This window comes from Homo sapiens, chromosome 3 (assembly GCF_000001405.40).
Source record: "Homo sapiens chromosome 3, GRCh38.p14 Primary Assembly".
NCBI lineage: Eukaryota > Metazoa > Chordata > Mammalia > Primates > Hominidae > Homo > Homo sapiens.
In genome coordinates, this window is record NC_000003.12 from 102,522,472 (window position 1) to 102,541,440 (window position 18,969).

General features: G+C 38.2%; 1 annotated feature.

The window, feature by feature from the left end:
• Nucleotides 14,054-14,348: a silencer, noted in NCBI's record as "tiled region #11515; HepG2 Repressive DNase matched - State 13:Ctcf". NCBI's record gives its function as "represses a minimal TATA promoter and a strong SV40 promoter by Sharpr-MPRA in HepG2 cells {active_cell/tissue: HepG2}" and the evidence as "EXISTENCE:reporter gene assay evidence [ECO:0000049][PMID:27701403]".

Genomic DNA, 18,969 nt, shown 5'->3' on the forward strand with positions numbered 1-18,969 from the left:
TCAGTTATGAACAGGATCTTCATCTCCAGTCTTTCTGTGTTGTTAGAATTTGGCTACCTTAATTTTCTGATATAAGTCTCAGAGGCTTACCATGGGGTTTAGCAAGAACTTTGATAACTAGTGCTTTTTAAGGGCATTGGAACTACAACTTTTTTTCTTTTTTTTTGTTCTTATAAATGACCACTGGATGGGCTTCCACCCCTATTAGGAGTTAGAAGTAACAAATGAACCAGTCATTAAATGGTTCAATGAGCCATTTGGCTCTGAGCTCAAATGGCTTGACTATGATTTTTGCAGAAAAGAGTGAGTGAAAACCAGGTTCAGAACAATAGTTGAAACTTCAGAGGATAATGTCATGGCAAGGCTGGAAGGGAGCCTGAAATAGAGGAAAAGTCTCCGAGAGTTTAAACCACATTAGTTCCGAATCATATTATTGGTGCTATTCAGAAAAAGGCCTCTCTCGTCTTCATACTTTTCTATCACAAATTCATTATGGGACAGTCTTGCTTGTAAGACATAATTATGCCTTTTTCTTCTTTTGTTTTCCTTCCTTTCTGCATTCTAATGATCAAGGCATGGCCACTCTTCTTTGACTATGTTTATGTTATTTGTATGAGAGTTACCTTCGGGCATCCGGCCACACTTCAATTCTCTGTATAGCACAAGGCCACATAGAGGCATTTTCCCTGGGCACTGTTATCCTCTCCTCAAGGGGGTCTTGATTGCACCTCAGTTGACCAGCTTGTCTCTCCCAGAAGCATGTGTTATTTAGAATCATTCAATAGCATTTTTGATATTCTCCTGTGAGCCTGGCTCTATGCTATGACATGGGGTTATCTCAGTGGAGAATAAGCCAGGGCTTTTCACCCCTTTTCTTACCACTTAGACATAGCTGGTCTGCTCCCTCACCAAGTAAAACCAATCTGCCTAAGGTATGCAAAAAGGACTTTTTTTTTTTTTTGAGACGGAGTCTCGCTCTGTCGCCCAGGCTGGAGTGCAGTGGCGCGATCTCGGCTCACTGCAAGCTCCGCCTCCCGGGTTCACGCCATACTCCTGCCTCAGCCTCCAGAGTAGCTGGGACTACAGGCGCCCGCCACCACGCCCGACTAATTTTTTCTATTTTTTTGGTAGAGACGGGGTTTCACCGTGTTAGTCAGGATGGTCTCGATCTCCTGACCTCGTGATCCGCCCGCCTCGGCCTCCCAAAGTCCTGGGATTACAGGCATGAGCCACCGAGCCCGGCCAAAAAGGACTATTCTTTTCTTAATTCTGTCTGTACGCTTCTACAAGTTCTCATTTCCCTGACTTTCTAAAGCCCTGGTTCTTTACTTGGCTTTCAATATCTGTGACTGGCACCCTACTTTGCCAAAATTTGCCAACATCCTCTTTTTCTCTATCAACCTTGCTCTGCACGCTACCTTGATTGTGGTATTACTGGCAGTTTCTGGTTAAAATTATCCTCAAGAGTCTTCTCTGTAGGGGAGAGAAAATGAAGAGTGACTATGTGTAGCTCAGGAGAAAGAAGGAACCAATATTTGCAATCATTTTGTGTCAAACACAGTAATAGTTACCTCCACTCATTTCATTTCAGTTTGTAGCAGAAGTATACAAAATATACACTGTCAAGTGAAAGATGCTTTAATAAAAAGCATAAAGAGGTAACATAACAGAGAGTGGTTTACACTGTCTGGACAACAAGGTAGGATAGCTAGATATTCTGTATCCATGTGGTGAGTGTTAACCTTGTGACACATGAACATGTAGGTATAGGGTGCCCACTTGTCTTCTAATACCTCCAGTCCACCCTACACATGGAAGCCAGAGAGTATCAACCCTCAGTGACTTCCCACTAGACTTAGTCTCTCACATTTTTCTAATGGTGGACAGGGATATAGATTTGGCGTATCCTTCCAAAATTATTTCTGGCCACCTTTCATCCACTTACTTTACTCCAACCATATTGGCCTTCTGGATTCTCAAAACTACCAGGTGTTTTTCAGCCTGCAAGTCTTTACATATGCCTCTGTTCAGGGTGTCCTCCCCTCACCCTTCCTCAAAGAATAGATGCACTTGTGAAATAGTGCTTATGCATCAGACTCATGATCAGATTAGAGGCATTTTAAACAAGTTCTGTTCATCAAGTATAAGAAAATCTTACCTAACAACCTGGCTTAGTAAGCAGTTTCATTTCCTAGATGCTTATTTGTGAAATTGAGACCTTCTGTGTTTCTCAGAAACATTGGCAAGTGAAAAGGTTGAGTTTGCCTAGGGAGTAGGTTTGCTTATTGTTGTGGTATCCATGTTGGTCTTTAGCTCATCTTTGACTTATTGCACATGAAAAGGTTTCCTTGCTTACATTATAAACATTGGCTATGTAACTGGTTATGGACTTTGAGTTTCTGATCTCTGGCTACTATTGCCATATTTTGTGTAATTGCTAGCTGTTATCAAATAAACAAACAATAAGTTAATCACATTTACTGTTAATATAGGGCTACCACCTGTCTGCTTCCCCCTGGAGAATCTGAATTTTAGAGATCATTTTACTGCTGGAAAATTTTAAGCTCTCCAGGAGGACTTGCTTTAATTATAGCTGTTTCTCATTTTGTGTACTTTTTTCTCCATTCCAGTTTGAATAAGGGAGTGGCTATTATTTGCTAAATGCACATCTTGGGATGGAGGTTGGAAAAGTAAGAAGATAATTAACATAGCAAAAAGCAGTCTTCTCTGTCTCCCACCCTCTCCCCCATGATTTTGGTAGAATGGGAAGCTATCCATCAGACAAATCTGATGGGACAAAGTGAGTGGACACTTGATGACTCCTGTGGGAATTTGGGATTTGTCGAGACTGCTCTTCATGGCTTAAGGATGGGTGAAAGCATGTGGGCTGAACTGGATGATCAAACAGAAATGGAAAATCCTGTGGGGCAGGCTAGGTGGAGATCTTAAGCTGAGCCACAGTCAAAGCATCATAGAATCTCCAGCCTTTCAGTACAAACTCTCACCCCTCCATCCCTCTCATTAGTCCTAAAAAATATTAAAAGCAACCATAAACTCATAAAGGAATAAGAAGACTTTTAAGAATGTAGGGCTTTGTATGTGTGTGTATATTGGAAGAGAGGGTGTTATTCTTTTGCAAGACATCATAAAACAAAACTCTGTTATTGAAATAGCATACAATGACAAATTCTAATAAAATCAGGAAAGGTTATTATCTCATAATCAGGAAGTGAATATTTAGGTTCATTATGCAGCATTTTGAGAAAGGTTGCATTGTATTTGAAAGAGTCTGAGAACATCAGTCTTCACTGGGTGATACTTGAAAAGGAAAGTGGACTATTGGGAAATGCAAATGTTGTGGCATCTATTATGAAACAGACCAAGAAACCCACTGAAGGAGCACAAAAAAATCACTCTCATTAGGCCCAAAGTGAGCTTTAGTAGGAAGTAAATTACCAAAAGTGTTGTTGTCCAGTAAGACTATATCTGAGGAAAATAAAGTTATCTTACCCAAATTCATTTCTCATAATGTCCACCTCTGCCTTCATAATTCTTATTTTCTGATAAATCTCTTCTATATGGGTGCATCCAGTATTAAAAGAAAACCATTCAGAATCGACTTGCACAAATGTGCAGTTACTTAATAGAGACCAGCAGTACTGACCCATCGGATAGCTTGGAAGCATACAAATATAACGAGTAAGTAGGAGAGCTACTGTGTTTTGAATGGGTGCATTTGCTAGAAATCAACAGTCTGCATTTTCTATTTCCAGCTGAAACTATGGATGGCAAATCAAGATCGAGGCAGAAAATAGCTGAGAAAGGAATTACTATGAATATTTGATAAATAAAAATCAGATGAGCCCTTTGTTTTTTGGATGACTGCATCACAATAAAATGAACTATTGCCTATGTCATTGTTTACTATCCTGTGTGATACTAAAAATTACCAGGAAAGCGTGTTAAAAATACATACTCTTGGAATGAAACCAACTTTTGGATCAAATTTTCCATGAAAAATATTGAGTGTATAATCTTCATAGGAGCCACCATGTTGACTACATGAGAGATGAACATGTAGCTTAAAGAAAAAACATGGATGATTTGTATGGTTACAAAACAGGGTAGGAGGAACACTTCAATGTATATTTAGCAGAAAATGCCTATTATCATAAATTGAGTTTGAATTTTACCTCAACCATTTGCTACCTGGATTGACTTCTACTACTTACTTTACTCTTCACTAAAACACATTCATTTTTTATATAATTTTCCAAATAATGTTAATATTCACCAAATGTTATGTAGCTTCACACACATGTTAAATCTCATGCTCCTCTATCTGAATTCAACTTTTTTAAAAAGAGTTTTCTTGGTTACTCCAGCTTTGTACTATGAAATCACGGTTTTCAGAATCATACAAATATAAGATTATATGGGAATCTTAGAAATTATGAAGGCTAGTAGTTCTGAAATGTGGCTTGTTAAAAATCACAAATGCCAAACTTACTGTATTATACTCTGGGGATGAATCGATGCCATGTGTTTTTTTTTTTTTTTTTACAACTTCTCAAGGTGATTTTGATGCAAACAATGAAAATCATTGTTTATTCTACAGAAAGATACCTTTGTTCTAGAGAAATTCAGCAACTTAGCCAAGTTCACAGAGATGATTCGGACAAATGAGAACTAAAATAGAGAACTTCAGACTCTCATATCAATGAGCTTTCTTTCTGAAACATCAAGAAAGATAAGTTAAAATACAATTTTTCTTCATTGTGAATGTACTAAATGCCATTGAATTTAATACTTTAAAGTGGTGAGTTTACATTAGGCAAATTTTACCCAATTAAAAACTAATTTAAAAACATATAAAAACACCACTTTTATTTTACTATTATGTAGGCAAGTTAATTTTCTAAATAACACGTAGAATGGCAACCACATGTTATATCTGGCTAGTGCAACAGCCAACAGAGAAATCATTGATATAGATCATTCAAGCTACTAAATCAGCTCTCTGGTCTGTAAAATTAGGGAATGAGAATAATAATGCTTTGTTGTTGAATAAATGTGAATCTATGAAAGAGGATATATGTAGTCTGCCTGGTACACTGTGGTTGGTCACTGCTAGTTTGACTTGAGGATGAATACAGCTTATCATATGCTTTTTTCTCCTCTCACCTTGCTCACCACAGTGTCTTCCAGTAGTAGGTGGCAAGTAACTTATTTATCAACTTGTCTATTGACTAATAAGACCACGTAGATATCACCCTCTTATCAGGTGAAAAGAAATTTCCTTGAAATCTCACTTTATGAGATAGCTAAGTAAATTCCACTCACTCCATATGTGAATGTTCTGCTTTCCTGAATCTGATTAGGTTACAAGTTGTAAGGGCAGGACTCATTTTTTGGGTAATTATAGCTTTAAACGCACTCAGATGGCTATTACACACTAGCCATATCCAATAGATATAATAAATAATTAATTGAACAAATAAATAAATAAATAAATAAATAAATAAAAATTACAGCCCATAAAAGCTCCTCATTAACTTTCCCAGTACTAACCTACCTCTTGCAATTAATTTTACATTTTCTTGTTTCTCCTTTATTAAGTAAGCTGAAATGAAATAGAAATGATATAATTGTTTTTCTTTCTCATTTGGAGAAATACTCATGCAGTCTCAGTCCTCAGAGCATACAGAAAATGAGACTAGATGAGCTCCATTTGATACAGAAATAACAGAATTCTGAACAATAATGGAATCACATTTATTCCAGTGAATATATGTATACCCATTCCAATGCAGAAAATATTATAATTCTCATAAATTTAAAAAAATAAAAGATATTTATTTTGTCATTACAGAAGTATTCCAGAGGAAAAATTAGGATTTACTCCTCTTTTGTAATCACTATTATGTGAGGCTTCCTCAACAGTAAGCCCACCTCCTTTTAGTGAGGAAAAGTGCATATGAGCATCCCTGCTGTAGGTTCTTATCTTGAAGATAACTTTTCTCTTCCATACCCAAATTGCTAGTGTTATACAGTCCGAGGATGAGGTATGGGAACCCAAACATGAAGTTGTCAGTGTGTCTTACAGGAAAAGTACTAAGTGAATGATTCTGTCTATTCTGTGGAGGCCAAGTGATGTAATCTTTAGAAAAAATAGACATGATGTGATATTATTTGGGGGATTTTGTAAACCTTAAGGATATATGGTAGCGATAGTGGACAATGTTTCTCAGAGACATCTTTCCTCAGTACTAGTTTTGAGAGCTCTCCTACAGAAAGATGTGGGTCCACAGGCCAAGGATACACTCTACCCCAGTCCTAACTCTATTGTCAGATCATGAATTATCCATGCAGGAATATGTCTTTCAAGTACATTGTTTTGGATTCCTGAGAGCTTTAAATACAATTCAATCATTATTATTTTTCTAATCCAAAAATCAGTAGAGTGAATAATGGCCCACAAAATTCATCTAAAGGGATCTTGACTTGATTAAAATGACTCACTCAGGTTCATATAAATGTCTTGCACATAATTTCATTTTGAATTGGCAATGTGGCAATGTAGCACAAAGAGAACTGGACTAGAGGTTAGGAGAGCTGATTAAGGCTGGAATCTTCTTCAGTGAGGTGTGTGAACATAGCAAAATTAATACTTTCTGAACCCCAGCTTTCCTTATATTTATAGTGAAAGAATTATAAAAGACAAGGTCCATTATACCTCCAAGGTTCAGTCTAGCTCTTAAATTTATACTTTATATGACATTTCTGGGCTCTCTCAGAAAAGAGATTTTGTCTCACTATCCTTGGGATGAAAATAGGATACTTTCTTTTCTTTCATCTCTCCATTTGTCAGAGACAAAAAAAATCATCTCTCTCTTCTTAATGTTCTGTCTTAGTCTAGGCCACACTGTGGACAGAACAACATTGTCAGTTAGGGAACCGTGATTGGCTACACTCACCCTCTCTCTAAGCTGGTTTGCTAAAGGGAAGGCTTTGTCTCAAAATGGATGGCTATCAGTATGGTAGGTTTATCCAAAAAAAAAAAAAAAACCTCAGCAAGTTTATGTAAACACTGTGGTACTCAATGAAGGAAGTGCTGAGAGGGTAACAACATCTGACGAATGGGTAAATTTTCTGGAATCTCGCAAGGCTTTGAACATAGCTCTCCCTGGTGGAGACTGCCTGAGCCGACCTGATGTTGTTTTTCCTCATGGTTGGCAGTTATAGAGTGCAGTGGAACAATCAGTTCCTTGGTTATCCTCCAAGGTGAGCAAGGTCAGTTTTAAACAGCTTTGCTGTCAGGGAGCCTCATATTTTACTCTAGTCTCCTAACCTCACAAATCTTGAGGCTGGCACTGAAGTCAATGAGCCCTCTGCAGCCTGATTCCCCACAGCGACTTCTCTCTTCTTACAAACAATGCCTCATCTTGGTTCTGCACACCTGCACAGGTTTTTAGGGAGCAGGACTGCAATTAGTCAATGCAGCCATAATTCAACCGTTATAAAGTATTTGCTTTCACCAGGGTCCTTTTTGTACAGTCTCATATTAAGCATCCACCACAGGAAAATTGCCCTTGAATGTTTGGTCCTTCATCAGCATTAAACTACAGAGCTGACTTTGAATTTTGTCAAACGATTGTCATAGGACAGGGTGAGATTACATAGTCTTTTGCTTATTAGCATTTCATTTAGAACATTACCATATCAAATTGGCTTAATTCTCTTCAGGGTATAAATATTTAAATTTTACAAATTCCAATTATGTTCCTTGCCCCCATTTTGTTCTTCCCACAAGAAAAAAATAAATAAATAAACATGATTCAGAGTGTCTGTTAATCTCACTTAAGGCAAGGAGGAGCCTGAAGATGAACCGTTCATGAAATGACAGATGTCCTAAGAAAGAAAACATCTCCAAAATAAGACCATTTTACTCCCATTTCTTTCAGTGACATGGATGTTTCCAACTAAAATTATATTCAGCATTTTATTTCAATTAAGTAAGCTAGTGATATTGTTTGCAAATAGGTCCTGGTTAATATGGAGTTAAGTTCCTTGAAAATACAGCAGAACCCTTTTTGGGTGTGCCCTGATGATCCTCATCTGCTCCCTACGTGTCACTGACTTCTTTAGATTGTTATCAGGAAATTAGACACTCCATTGAAACAATCCTGGGAAAATAATTCAAGAATCTGGTTTTCATTTTCACTTCTGCTCCTAGAACATTGGACCAGCAGTGCTGGTCCTGTGAAGGACTTGTGTTTGTATGGATGGGACATTGCATAGACCAGCTTAGCAAGACTAATTGATGGTTCAAGTTCTCTGAAGTATAGTTAGTGGCCAGAGGTTGGACTAGAAGGAAGAGAATAAGCAATTTGTTTGTCCAGGTTTTGATTTGCCTGACCAGGTGTGTCCATTTTCTCATGGTTAATGCCTGCGTCAACAGCACTGAGAAGCAACTAAACATTAAAGATTTATGAAGAAAACATTTCATAACCTATGAAGAATTTTACAAACTCTTGGATAGATGAGTCATTGTGGCATTCCACATCTAATGCTATGAGTTGCTTTCCCTGTTCCCTCGTTTCCTTGTTGCATGTAGCCATATAATAAATAGAACTGAGCTGCGTGGTGACCCATGGGATAATTATAAATATAGTAATGATTGTCTTTGGTTTATCTGACAGACAAAATATGGAGAAATGTGATTATTGTACTGTGTTAAAATTGTTCTGTGCTAAGGGGCTGAAGGAGAAGTACAAACACCTTTGAGTACGGCCTTACCCGAAAGGCGTGATCATTCATCATTCTTTTTTTTCTTTTTTTTTTTTTTGAGATGGAGTCTCACTCTGTCACCCAGGCTGGAGTGCAATGGTGCAATCTTGGCTTACTGCGACCTCTGCCTCCCGGGTTCACACGATTCTCCTGCCTCAGCCTCCCGAATAGCTGGGACTACAGTGCACATCCCCACACCCGGCTAATTTTTTGTATTTTTAGTAGAGACAGGGTTTCACCGTGTTGGCCAGACTGGTCTCAAACTCCTGATCTCGTGATCTGCCTGCCTTGGCCTCCCAAAGTGTTGGGATTACAGGCGTGAGCCATCACGCCTGGCCAAGGTGGGATTATTCTTATTGTGAATCTACTGGAGAATCTACATTTGTTACAAAAAAGACAAAAATTCAGAGGGTCCACCCAAGGTGGGCTTAGAATTTGAATCTGTCTGCCTTTGTCTTGATTAAAAATGTATCATGATATTCAGGATAGAAAATTTATACTTTAGGTGGAGGCCTTGTCTCTCTCCAAACTTTTCTATAATGACTCTGAAGTATTTCTCAAAATGCAGTTCTTATGTCAATCATCTATGATGACTAGTTCCCAGTAGCCTTCTGGATAAAAATCTAAAGTATTAATCATGGCACCTCAGACCACAGACTAGCTCTTTAATGTCATCTCTTCTCTCTGGCCCTCTCATGCATTATTTTCTAGTTACATTGAACTGTCTATTATATCTTGGCTACTACATTTCTCATCTCCTTGTATTTGGATTTGTGATTCCTACACTCTGTAAACCTATTTTACAAATTAGGTTGGATAACTCTTATTCATTTTCTAGAATGCAATTACTCCTTCAAGGAAACTCGCTTAATTTTACACCAATGTCCCAACCCCAACTGAGATTTTCGTTCCTCCTGGATATTCTTTGTTCATTAAACTATCACCCACTACACTGTAAGTTCCTTTTTCCTAGAAATGTTGTCTTTTACTTACCAATCTATAATGCTTAGCTGTGTCTGATATACAGTAAGCTTCAGTCAGTGTTTGTTGAATGAATAAGTGGGGTAAGTCAAGAGTGAGGGACCTAGGAAAGGTGCCTTTGAAGTTGGCCAGTCCTTTGGAACTGGAGTAGATATCATTGGATATCTTAGTCATTGAATAATAGATCATTTTTGTCTTTTGCTATATTTGCTGCTTTTTCTTTACCTTGGTATTTAATAAGGTCTCTTTTAAAGTTCTAGCCTCCCTAAACTGTGCTAAGAGAAACATGGAAGAGATTTTGTTTGTTCTTTATGTAGAGCAAAGAAAGGGCACACCATCCCTCCTGAGGCTAGCGAGATGGTGGCAGCAATATCTGAAATGTGAGAATCTCAAGAGGAAAGCAAGGACTTCCAAGGAGAGTGGAAGAACTACTGGGCCAATTGTTTTTCCAGAAATAAGAAAAGCCTGGAGGGTTGAGGTTTTGTTTTAATAAAGAAAATCCCATTTTCTTCCAGTGCCTTTCCACTGTCTCCTTTTAGCCATATTCTCCTCACTTTGCCAGGCTGTCCAGGTCCTTTATGTTGTCCTCTGGACATAGAGTTGCTACAACCTTTTCTGGATTCTTATACCTGCTATGGCTGGGGGCCTTTCCCAGACAGCAGTCACCTAAACAGGACATTTACCCTTATAGGTGCTGAGTGTTTATGGCTGAATGGACCTTGCTTCATAGGAGTAGGTTTCACTCCAAAACTTGTGGCTTAATATAGCAATCATTTTGTTATCTCCCATGTTTCCATGGGTTTACTGTGTTCAGCTGGGTATTATTCTGTTGCTCTTGCTTGCGGTTTCTCATGTGGTTGCAGTCAGACGATGACTATTTCCTCATCTGCAGGCTGCTGTTATAATCTGGAGGCCTGTGTGAGATATTGGGAGGGCTGAACCTCCCTCCTTCTCCATGTAGTCTCAGGATTTCTCTATAATGACATCTTAATGACGTCTCTTTGTGATAGCCAGACCAGAGAAGAATACTTTTTTTCTTTTTTCTTTTTTTTCTTTCTGGGATGGCGTCTTGCTGTGTTGCCCACACTGGAGTGCAATGACATGATCTCGGCTCACTGCAACCTCCACCTCCAGGGCTCAAGTGATTCTCCTGCCTCAGCCTCCTGAGTAGCTGGAATTACAGGCATGCGCCACCATGCCTGGCTAATTTTTGTATTTTTAGTAGAGACAGGGTTTCACTATGTTGGCCAGGCTGGTCTCGAACTCCTGACCTCAGGTGATCCTCCCACCTCGGCCTCCCTAATTGTTGGGATTACAGGCGTGAGCCACTGCACCCAGCAGGAAGAAGACTTCTTATGTGGCCAGTTAGAGTTCCCAAAACCAAGCAAAGGGAGGCAGAGGCTGCCACCCCTCTTAAAATCTAGGTCCAGAAGTGTCACCATGTCACTCCTAACATGTACTATTGTTCATGGAAGTCACAGGGAAGCACAGATTTATTGTGGGAGGGGACTACACAAGATTATGAATGCCAGAAGGCATGGTTCATTGGGGACATCTTTTAAAACTCGCTAACTCGTTATCATAGGACACTTACATTTTAATAAACAATAAATAGGTTTTTTTCTTAAGTAATTTTAAGCACCAGGACTGTGTGTTCCTTCCTTTCTGCAAAACTTTCTTCCTTTTAGCTTTCTACTCAAATTCTCTATCACTTTCACTCACCACTCTCTCCATCACTTCCACTTCCTTGTCTCCACTTGTCTCTATCACTTTCCTTCGTTCTGGTTCCTTTGCTTTTCTCCCCCAAAACTGGCAAGACTCAACATCCAGGTCTTGTCACTCTCTCTTACTAAGCTTCCATTGTGTTTTCCCCATAGAGTTAAACTCATTACAGTTCGTTTATGAGTTCTCCTTGACCTTCTTCACTGAGTCCACCTCCCACCACTCTTTCTGTGTGTCCTAAGCTCTAGTCATTTTTGATCATTAATACTTTCTTGAGTAAGATGTGTTCCTTCATATCTTTATGCTGTTCCAGATACTATTTCTTCTGACAAGAAGGAAGAAACATGTTTCTAAACCACTTAGTGTTCTCTAGTCTGCTCTTGGAACAAGTTAGGAGAATGTTCCTCTCCTTCAGCTTTCTCTGCATGATTGATTTCTCTTTCTTCTTCCTTTTCTTAGCACTTTTGATATAGAATTGATTTTATTGCATTGTAAACACTTCAGAGTGTCTCTCTTTCCAGAGATGTCGTATTCATCTCTGTGTCTTCTCACTCTAGTGTTTCACAGTGTCTAAAATATAGATGTTACAATCATACTGAATTGGCTGGCTGAATTATTTTATTCTTATTTTCCTTCCTCAACAATTACCTCTATGTTGGTGCCCATATTTTTCTATAACCCTTTAGCTATGAAATCACATTTCATACTGCCTATTGGAATTTATACTTAGTCTCCTATGGTCACCTCAAAAATAGCATTTCTAGAGCCACATTTACTGTCTTTCCCTCCCAAATTTCATAGTCTCTTTCAGTGAAACCACCATTATCCCAGTTAACAAGAGTAACTTTTGTCCCCTTCATTCATCCAAATCAGTCAGTCTTAGATTTTAGGCATTATTTTCTTTTGACATTGCTCTCATATTTACTTTTGTGAATATATCCTTACTGCTGTCCTTTTAGCCCAGACCTTCTCATGCATGAATGATCACCTTGCTGTTTTGTCTTGTTTTCCTCTCTAATCCCTTCCTCTCTCATGGCTAGGCTGATATTTCTTCTTCTTCTTCTTCTTTTTTTTTTTTTGAGATGGAGTCTCACTCTGTCGCCCAGGCTGGAGTGCAGTGGCAGGATCTTGGCTCACTGCAACCTCCGCCCCACAGGTTCAAGCGATTCCCCTGCCTCAGCCTCCCAAGTAGCTGGAATTATAGGCACCTGCCACCATGCCCAACTAATTTTTTTGTATTTTTAGTAGAGACAGGGTTTTGCCATGTTGGCCAGGTTGGTCTCCAACTCCTGACCTCAGGTGATCCCCCTGCCTTGGCCTCCAAAAGTGCTGGGGTTACAGGTGTGAGCCACCGGGCCCAGCATAGGCTGATTTTTCTAAAACAACTCTTTCACAGTGTTGCTCTGGTGCTCCTCGAAATGGTGTTTGCTGTCAAATTAAATCTACTCTTCTGCTTGCTTCTCATGGCCTTCCACAATCCAAACCCCACTCCGCCAATCTTTCTCTGTTTCCCCCTTTTAAGTAGCATCCACCCACATTACCTTTCCTCATTGATTCTGGCTTAAATGAACACTTGTTCAATCCCAGTTGCAAGGTCAATCTGTCTGGAAGGTTCTCCTCTTGCACCTTTCCCCTTCTCACATGTCAATATCCTTCCCATCCTTCCAGGATGTGTTCAAGTTTGAATCATCTATTATTTTTCTTTCAACTTCCTCCTGCCTTCCCTACTCTCTCTGAGCTCTGAGTGCAGAAATATTATGTCAGAACTACTGTGTTTACTGTGCTTTACCAACATATGTGCTTCTTGAGGTGAGAGATTATGGTTTATCTTCCTCAGTAATTCTCACAGTGTCATAATGTCCAGCACAATGCTGTGTAGTAGATGACCATGTAACATTAGTGGGTAATTACATGAACTTGTAGTGGTAGCATTTTCTGGGTCATCATCTATAGGCCAGTGGGATGATATTTTCTCAAGATAATTTTAAAAGGCAAGAAAAAAGAAGGCTTCTTATTTCTAATTTCCAGATAAGATATCCCCTACCTTGTCCCTGGATGATAGAACTGGATATTGTAAAATAATAGTAATTAGTATTTGAATGCCATTTAACTCTTTATAAAGCACCTTAACTGATATTTGCTTATTCATAATTCTGTAAGTTCTTCCAAAATTACTATACACTTTGAGGCTGGTGGTGTGATGTGTGAAGATGAGATAGAGGAAGTAAGCGTGGAGGATTTGGATTTGCAAAAACATTTGATAATGTATTGCTTTTCATTGGTCTCAAGGAGGTCTATTTCTAGGAGTATTGAGAAAGATATATATGTGTATATGTTTACCCATTTACCAGAAAATGGGTTTACTTCTCTAACGTTTTAGCAATAAAAAGAATTCCAGATATGCAGCAAATAAATCTGACTGTTAGTCAGCCCTCAGGAGCTGCTGATAGCAAAAGACTGAAGATCCTATATTTCTATATTCAGATCATACTACTGAGGGATTTCAAGCTTCTCTTTCTCAAGCCAGCTTTTATGGTTTAATAGTTTTTCTGTTATGAAAATAAAGCAGATGACACAAAATTTCAGAGAAAGACAGCAAAAGTAAGAGCCAAAGAAAAGAAGGAGTGGAAGTGAAAAACGCTTCAGTGAAAAAACTGGAGAGCTGACACTTTGGCACCGAAATGTTAATGCTTATTTTTAAGATTATATCGCCACCTAGTAAATAAGCTCAGAAATACAACCACAGAAAATGACAGCTTGTCTGGTGCTGAGCTCTAATCCTCTGGTTAGCAATTCCTGGGAGCACCTTTCCTTCTAAACATCTGCACACACAAATGTGCTACCTGCGCACGCTTTTAGAGTTCTCGTTGTTCAGGCTCAGCCCACGTTCTCCTGTTCATTTAGAGCAATGTGATGGAAAAGTCAACAGCACACATTTTAGAAATGAAAACAAGCCAAGGATTTCTATCAAGGAACCTGTTATCTACTCTTGAAAAATGATTAGTTAAAACCATACATATTATCATTTGCCAGTTCTGAATAATTCTGGGATTTTCATTAATGAAAATATTTTGCATTTTCTACTTTCATTTCTGTATAGAACCGAAGTGGTCTGTTCATGGTCTTTCTTGGTTAGGAAGCATTGGAACTAGGGAATTAAAAACACTAAAGACTGCTTAAAATTTTTCTTGTCTTTAGTTTTTCTGTTATTGTGAACAATCTTTTATTTCTTCTGCAGTGTTTGTTTGTACTGAATGCTTTATGCTTGATCACCCACCCTGATTCTGTTTTTGTACAAAAAGCTTGTTAGCTTGATAAAGCACTGCATAGGGTTTTAGTTGGTTGCTCAATAGATGATTATCTGGGTGGCATCCTGGCTATAGCCCTTGCTAGTTCCAATTTTGTAATCTGTGAGCTAGGGATAACAATAGTGCATACATCACTGGGCATTTGGGAGAAATAAATTAAGCAGCAAGTACTCAAAAATGTTAACTATTATTATTAATAATAAAAATAGATCGATTAGAAATGGTAGAAACAAAGGATAGAGACTGATTTCATCTTGCTCAATAGATCAAAATGGCACAGGAGATAAAAAGGTTTTAACCAAACACATAGATACAGATAAAGAAGGCATATATTCTGAGACTAGAAAACCATTCATTCTTAAAAATTCAGGTGATTAAATTTTAAAAAATTATTAAATTTTAATCATATTTAAAAATGATTGAATTCAAGTACTTAGAAACCTTGAAAATATACCTCCATTATTTTTTTCTATGCTATCTTTTTTTGAACGAAATCTATCCTCACTTCAGCCTTCCAAATAATAACTCCATTTTATTTTGAGGGCTGTTTAGAATAAACATGATTAAAGAAATTAGCCAAGAGTTTAGGGTATGAAGTGGGAGAGGGGAGATTTTTGTTACGAGAGCCTTTTTCATGGGGGTTATCAGGCATAAAATTATCAATTTTGTTTAACCCAGACGTGGCAGATTCTGCTATTTATCCCAGAATAACCATTGTTTTTCTTTTTCTTTCAATAGAACTTTGTGCTGGTACATGATTATACAGCCAAATATGCCCTAGCTTCTTAAGTGTGGCATCAACTGTGTGATATGTGCTAACTTTGGTGCCATGCCTTCATGAAGAACATGCATTTTCTTCTCCCCTTGTCTTTTTCTACCTTTCTGCTGGCTGGAATGTGGATATGATGATGGGAATGGAACAGCCACTGAACCAAGAGAAGGAAGCTAAGTTTTAAAGAGAAATAGAGCAACAAGATAAAGGAAGCCTGGCTTCCCATCACTTCTGATGTGCCGTAACAGCCCTGGAATGCCTATGCAGACCTTACATGAGAAATAAGCCAATGCCTGTCTGACTTAAGCTTAAATATTTTTTTTTAGTTTCTTTATTACAGTAGCCTAAACTGTACTACAACTAATTCTAATGGTCTACAAAGAGTCACAAGCCCTAGAAATATGAATATAAAATTATAGATGTTAAGTTTGACGTCTGCACGCTGCAAGGCACTGCTTCCTAAAGAGTGGTCTTTCATTTGATATTGGACTTTTATCAAAGAAAAAAGACTTTTAATGTACACCAAAAAAGGTCCTCTTAATAGGTGGTAGGAGGATTCTATTGTGTGGGGCTATCAAAGCGGTATCCCGCTTTCTTAAAAAAAAATGGAGAGGCTACGAAGAAATTAACTCAGGATAGAAGGTGGCTTGTCTGGTTACCTGGCATCCAAGCTTCTTGTAGAACAAAAAAACAAGTGCAGATGAAAATGACAGGGAAAGAGGAGGGCTCTGGATCTGAGCACAGTGTGTTGGAGGAAGAATGGAAAAGGCCATAGGTTGTTGAACAGATCAAAGCAGCCTTTGGAGAGAAGATAAAAACATTAATTGGTATTTATTAAGATATTTGCTACCTACATTACAATGTCCTGTTTTCTATCTCCTCTAATAATAGCTAATGATTATTGAACACTTTCTATATGCCAGACTCTGTTCTAGGGTTTTACATCTGTAATAATGTAATCATCACAGAAACTCTCTGAGGCAGTGCTATTATTTTTATTTATGTTTTCCAGATAAATAAAATGAAGCATCGAGGGGCGAAATTACTTGGTAAAAGTCATCCTTGCTAGTAAATTTGGCATTTGAACTCAAGCATTTTGCCCTAACCAATATGCTCTACTATCTTTATATAATGTTTACTAAATTCTCCATTGCTGGCCATTATCTTCAGACAAGCGGATTTGGGTTACACAGGAGCTTCAGAAAGAAGACATAACTGAAGACACTGTTATATTTAGTAAATCAATATACATTATCATACTAAAGGCTTCCCAGTAAATAAATCTGCTTAACTCTGTTTAATTCAGAATTTCCCAAATGTACTTGATCACAGAACTAATGTATTGAGCACTGGCTATTGCCACTCCAAGAAGCTAGTGTTTCACTGAACATACTTCTCAAATTCTTGGGGAGAAAAATATATTGACCTGGGTGTCAGGGGGCCCACATTTTGGTTCTGATTTGGTACTTTTTGTTTACATAGCTTTGGACAAGTCAGTATAGATTTCTGGGATTTCACTTCTTTTTATTCTTTTGTTTTCTTTTCTTTCTTTCATTTTATTTTATTTTATTTTTTGAGACAAGGTCTTACTTTCTTGCTCAGGCTGGAGTGCAGTAGTGCAGTCATAGCTCACTGCAGCCTCACTGTCCTGGGATTAAGCAATTTTCTCAATTTATCCTCCTGAGTAGCTGGGATTATGGGCATGGATCACCACGCCTGGCTAATTTTTATTATTTTATTTTGTAGAGCTGGGATGTTGCTATGTTGCCCAGGCTGGTCTTCAACTCCTGGCCTTAAGTGATCCTCCTGCCTCAGCCTCCCAAAGTGCTAGGATTAGAGGTGTGAGCCATGTCTGGCTAGATATTTGATCTAGTAAAACAGTGTCCAAGTTGATGCGGTGACCAGTGACATGTGAGCTTTAAGGACTAGGCTTGTATTTGGAAAAAGTGAAAGCAGAGATACAGCTATAAAAAGTCTAGACAATTAAATCCAGTTCTAAGCAAAAAGAGAAGAAATAGAACCAGGAAAATTCTGTATTGAGAGATTTTCCTTAAGCATTTGAGTACTGGCATCAAAGAATATGTATGATAGATGATCCACAAGTATTTGTTTGGGCTCTGAATTTAGCCTTCATAAACATGGGGACATCACTGATTTCCATGCTACCTCAGATCCCTACTAGTATCTTTCTCCAATTTGTGACCCACAATATCCAACCAGTTATTTTCCATCTATCTTGTTCATGTAGTACCTTGACCAAATTGTAAAGGAATAACTCAAGCAGATTAGACAGTTAGTCTTTGGCCAGGTGAATAAGACAGAAGAAGATATTTCAGGCAGAGAAAGTAGCATATGCAAAGGCTCAAGTGTAAGAAAGAGTAAGACAGGTTCAGTAATCTTGGGACAGTGCAGACTGGTGGAATGTGTGTTCATGGGATTTTTGTAGGTGTGGAGTTTGACGAAGAAGGATTCCAGAGAGAAGTGACTGGAAATATAAGCTGGGTTTGGGTGGTGGAGTATGTTCCATGTGCTATATTCAGGATGCCTCTCCCTGCATAGACTCAAGTTTTAGATATATCTTAATAGGAGTTTCCAGAAGTTAAGCATAAAAGGAAATCCCTTTATTCTGATGAGATTCCATGACTCTTTATGTGTCTTGGGAAAATTAGGATATAAGCTAGAGTATAAGTAATAACCCAATTCTGTTCTAATAGAATAATTCAATTATCCTGGTACTGTCATTGGATGTATCATGAATTTGCAGGTGTATGTTTATTTTCATAGAAATAATTTCCCATCTTTCTATAAAGTGATAATTTCTACAATAACATCCTGATGATATTGGCTGCCTTATAATTAAGTCTACTCTACATGACGAGGTTCTTCTGGAACTTTTGAATCTGGACGACACCAGAATAAAAGAGAAATATAGGCTTTAAATATAATTGTTGTAATTTCTGAAGACCACTGGTTAAGGCAAATCTAGTTAATGCATAGGAAATCTTGATTTATACGACATTCTCTACCTGGTCTCAGCCTGTCTATTCAGCCTCATTTATCCCTATCCATTTCCTTCTTACCTCACAATCTCACACACCTGCTCTCTGCCCACTTTGTGTCCTTCACTATTTCCCAAAAATTCCTGCCCATTTATGCTAAGCTTTGAACATGCTATTTTCTCTATCTGCTGAAGGTAAAGACTTACCTTTGGCAGCTATAATAATATTTTGCTACAATCTAAGTAATTCTTGACATCAATTGCTTACTGTCAAGAGGGTCAGTTATTATTAATCTTGCAGTTTGGTGGGAGAAAAGAAATTGAAGAGGGATGAAGAAAGGGGACTTATCCCTCAACTTCTTTTTTCAGAGATAGCCTCTGTATTCCAAATTTATGAC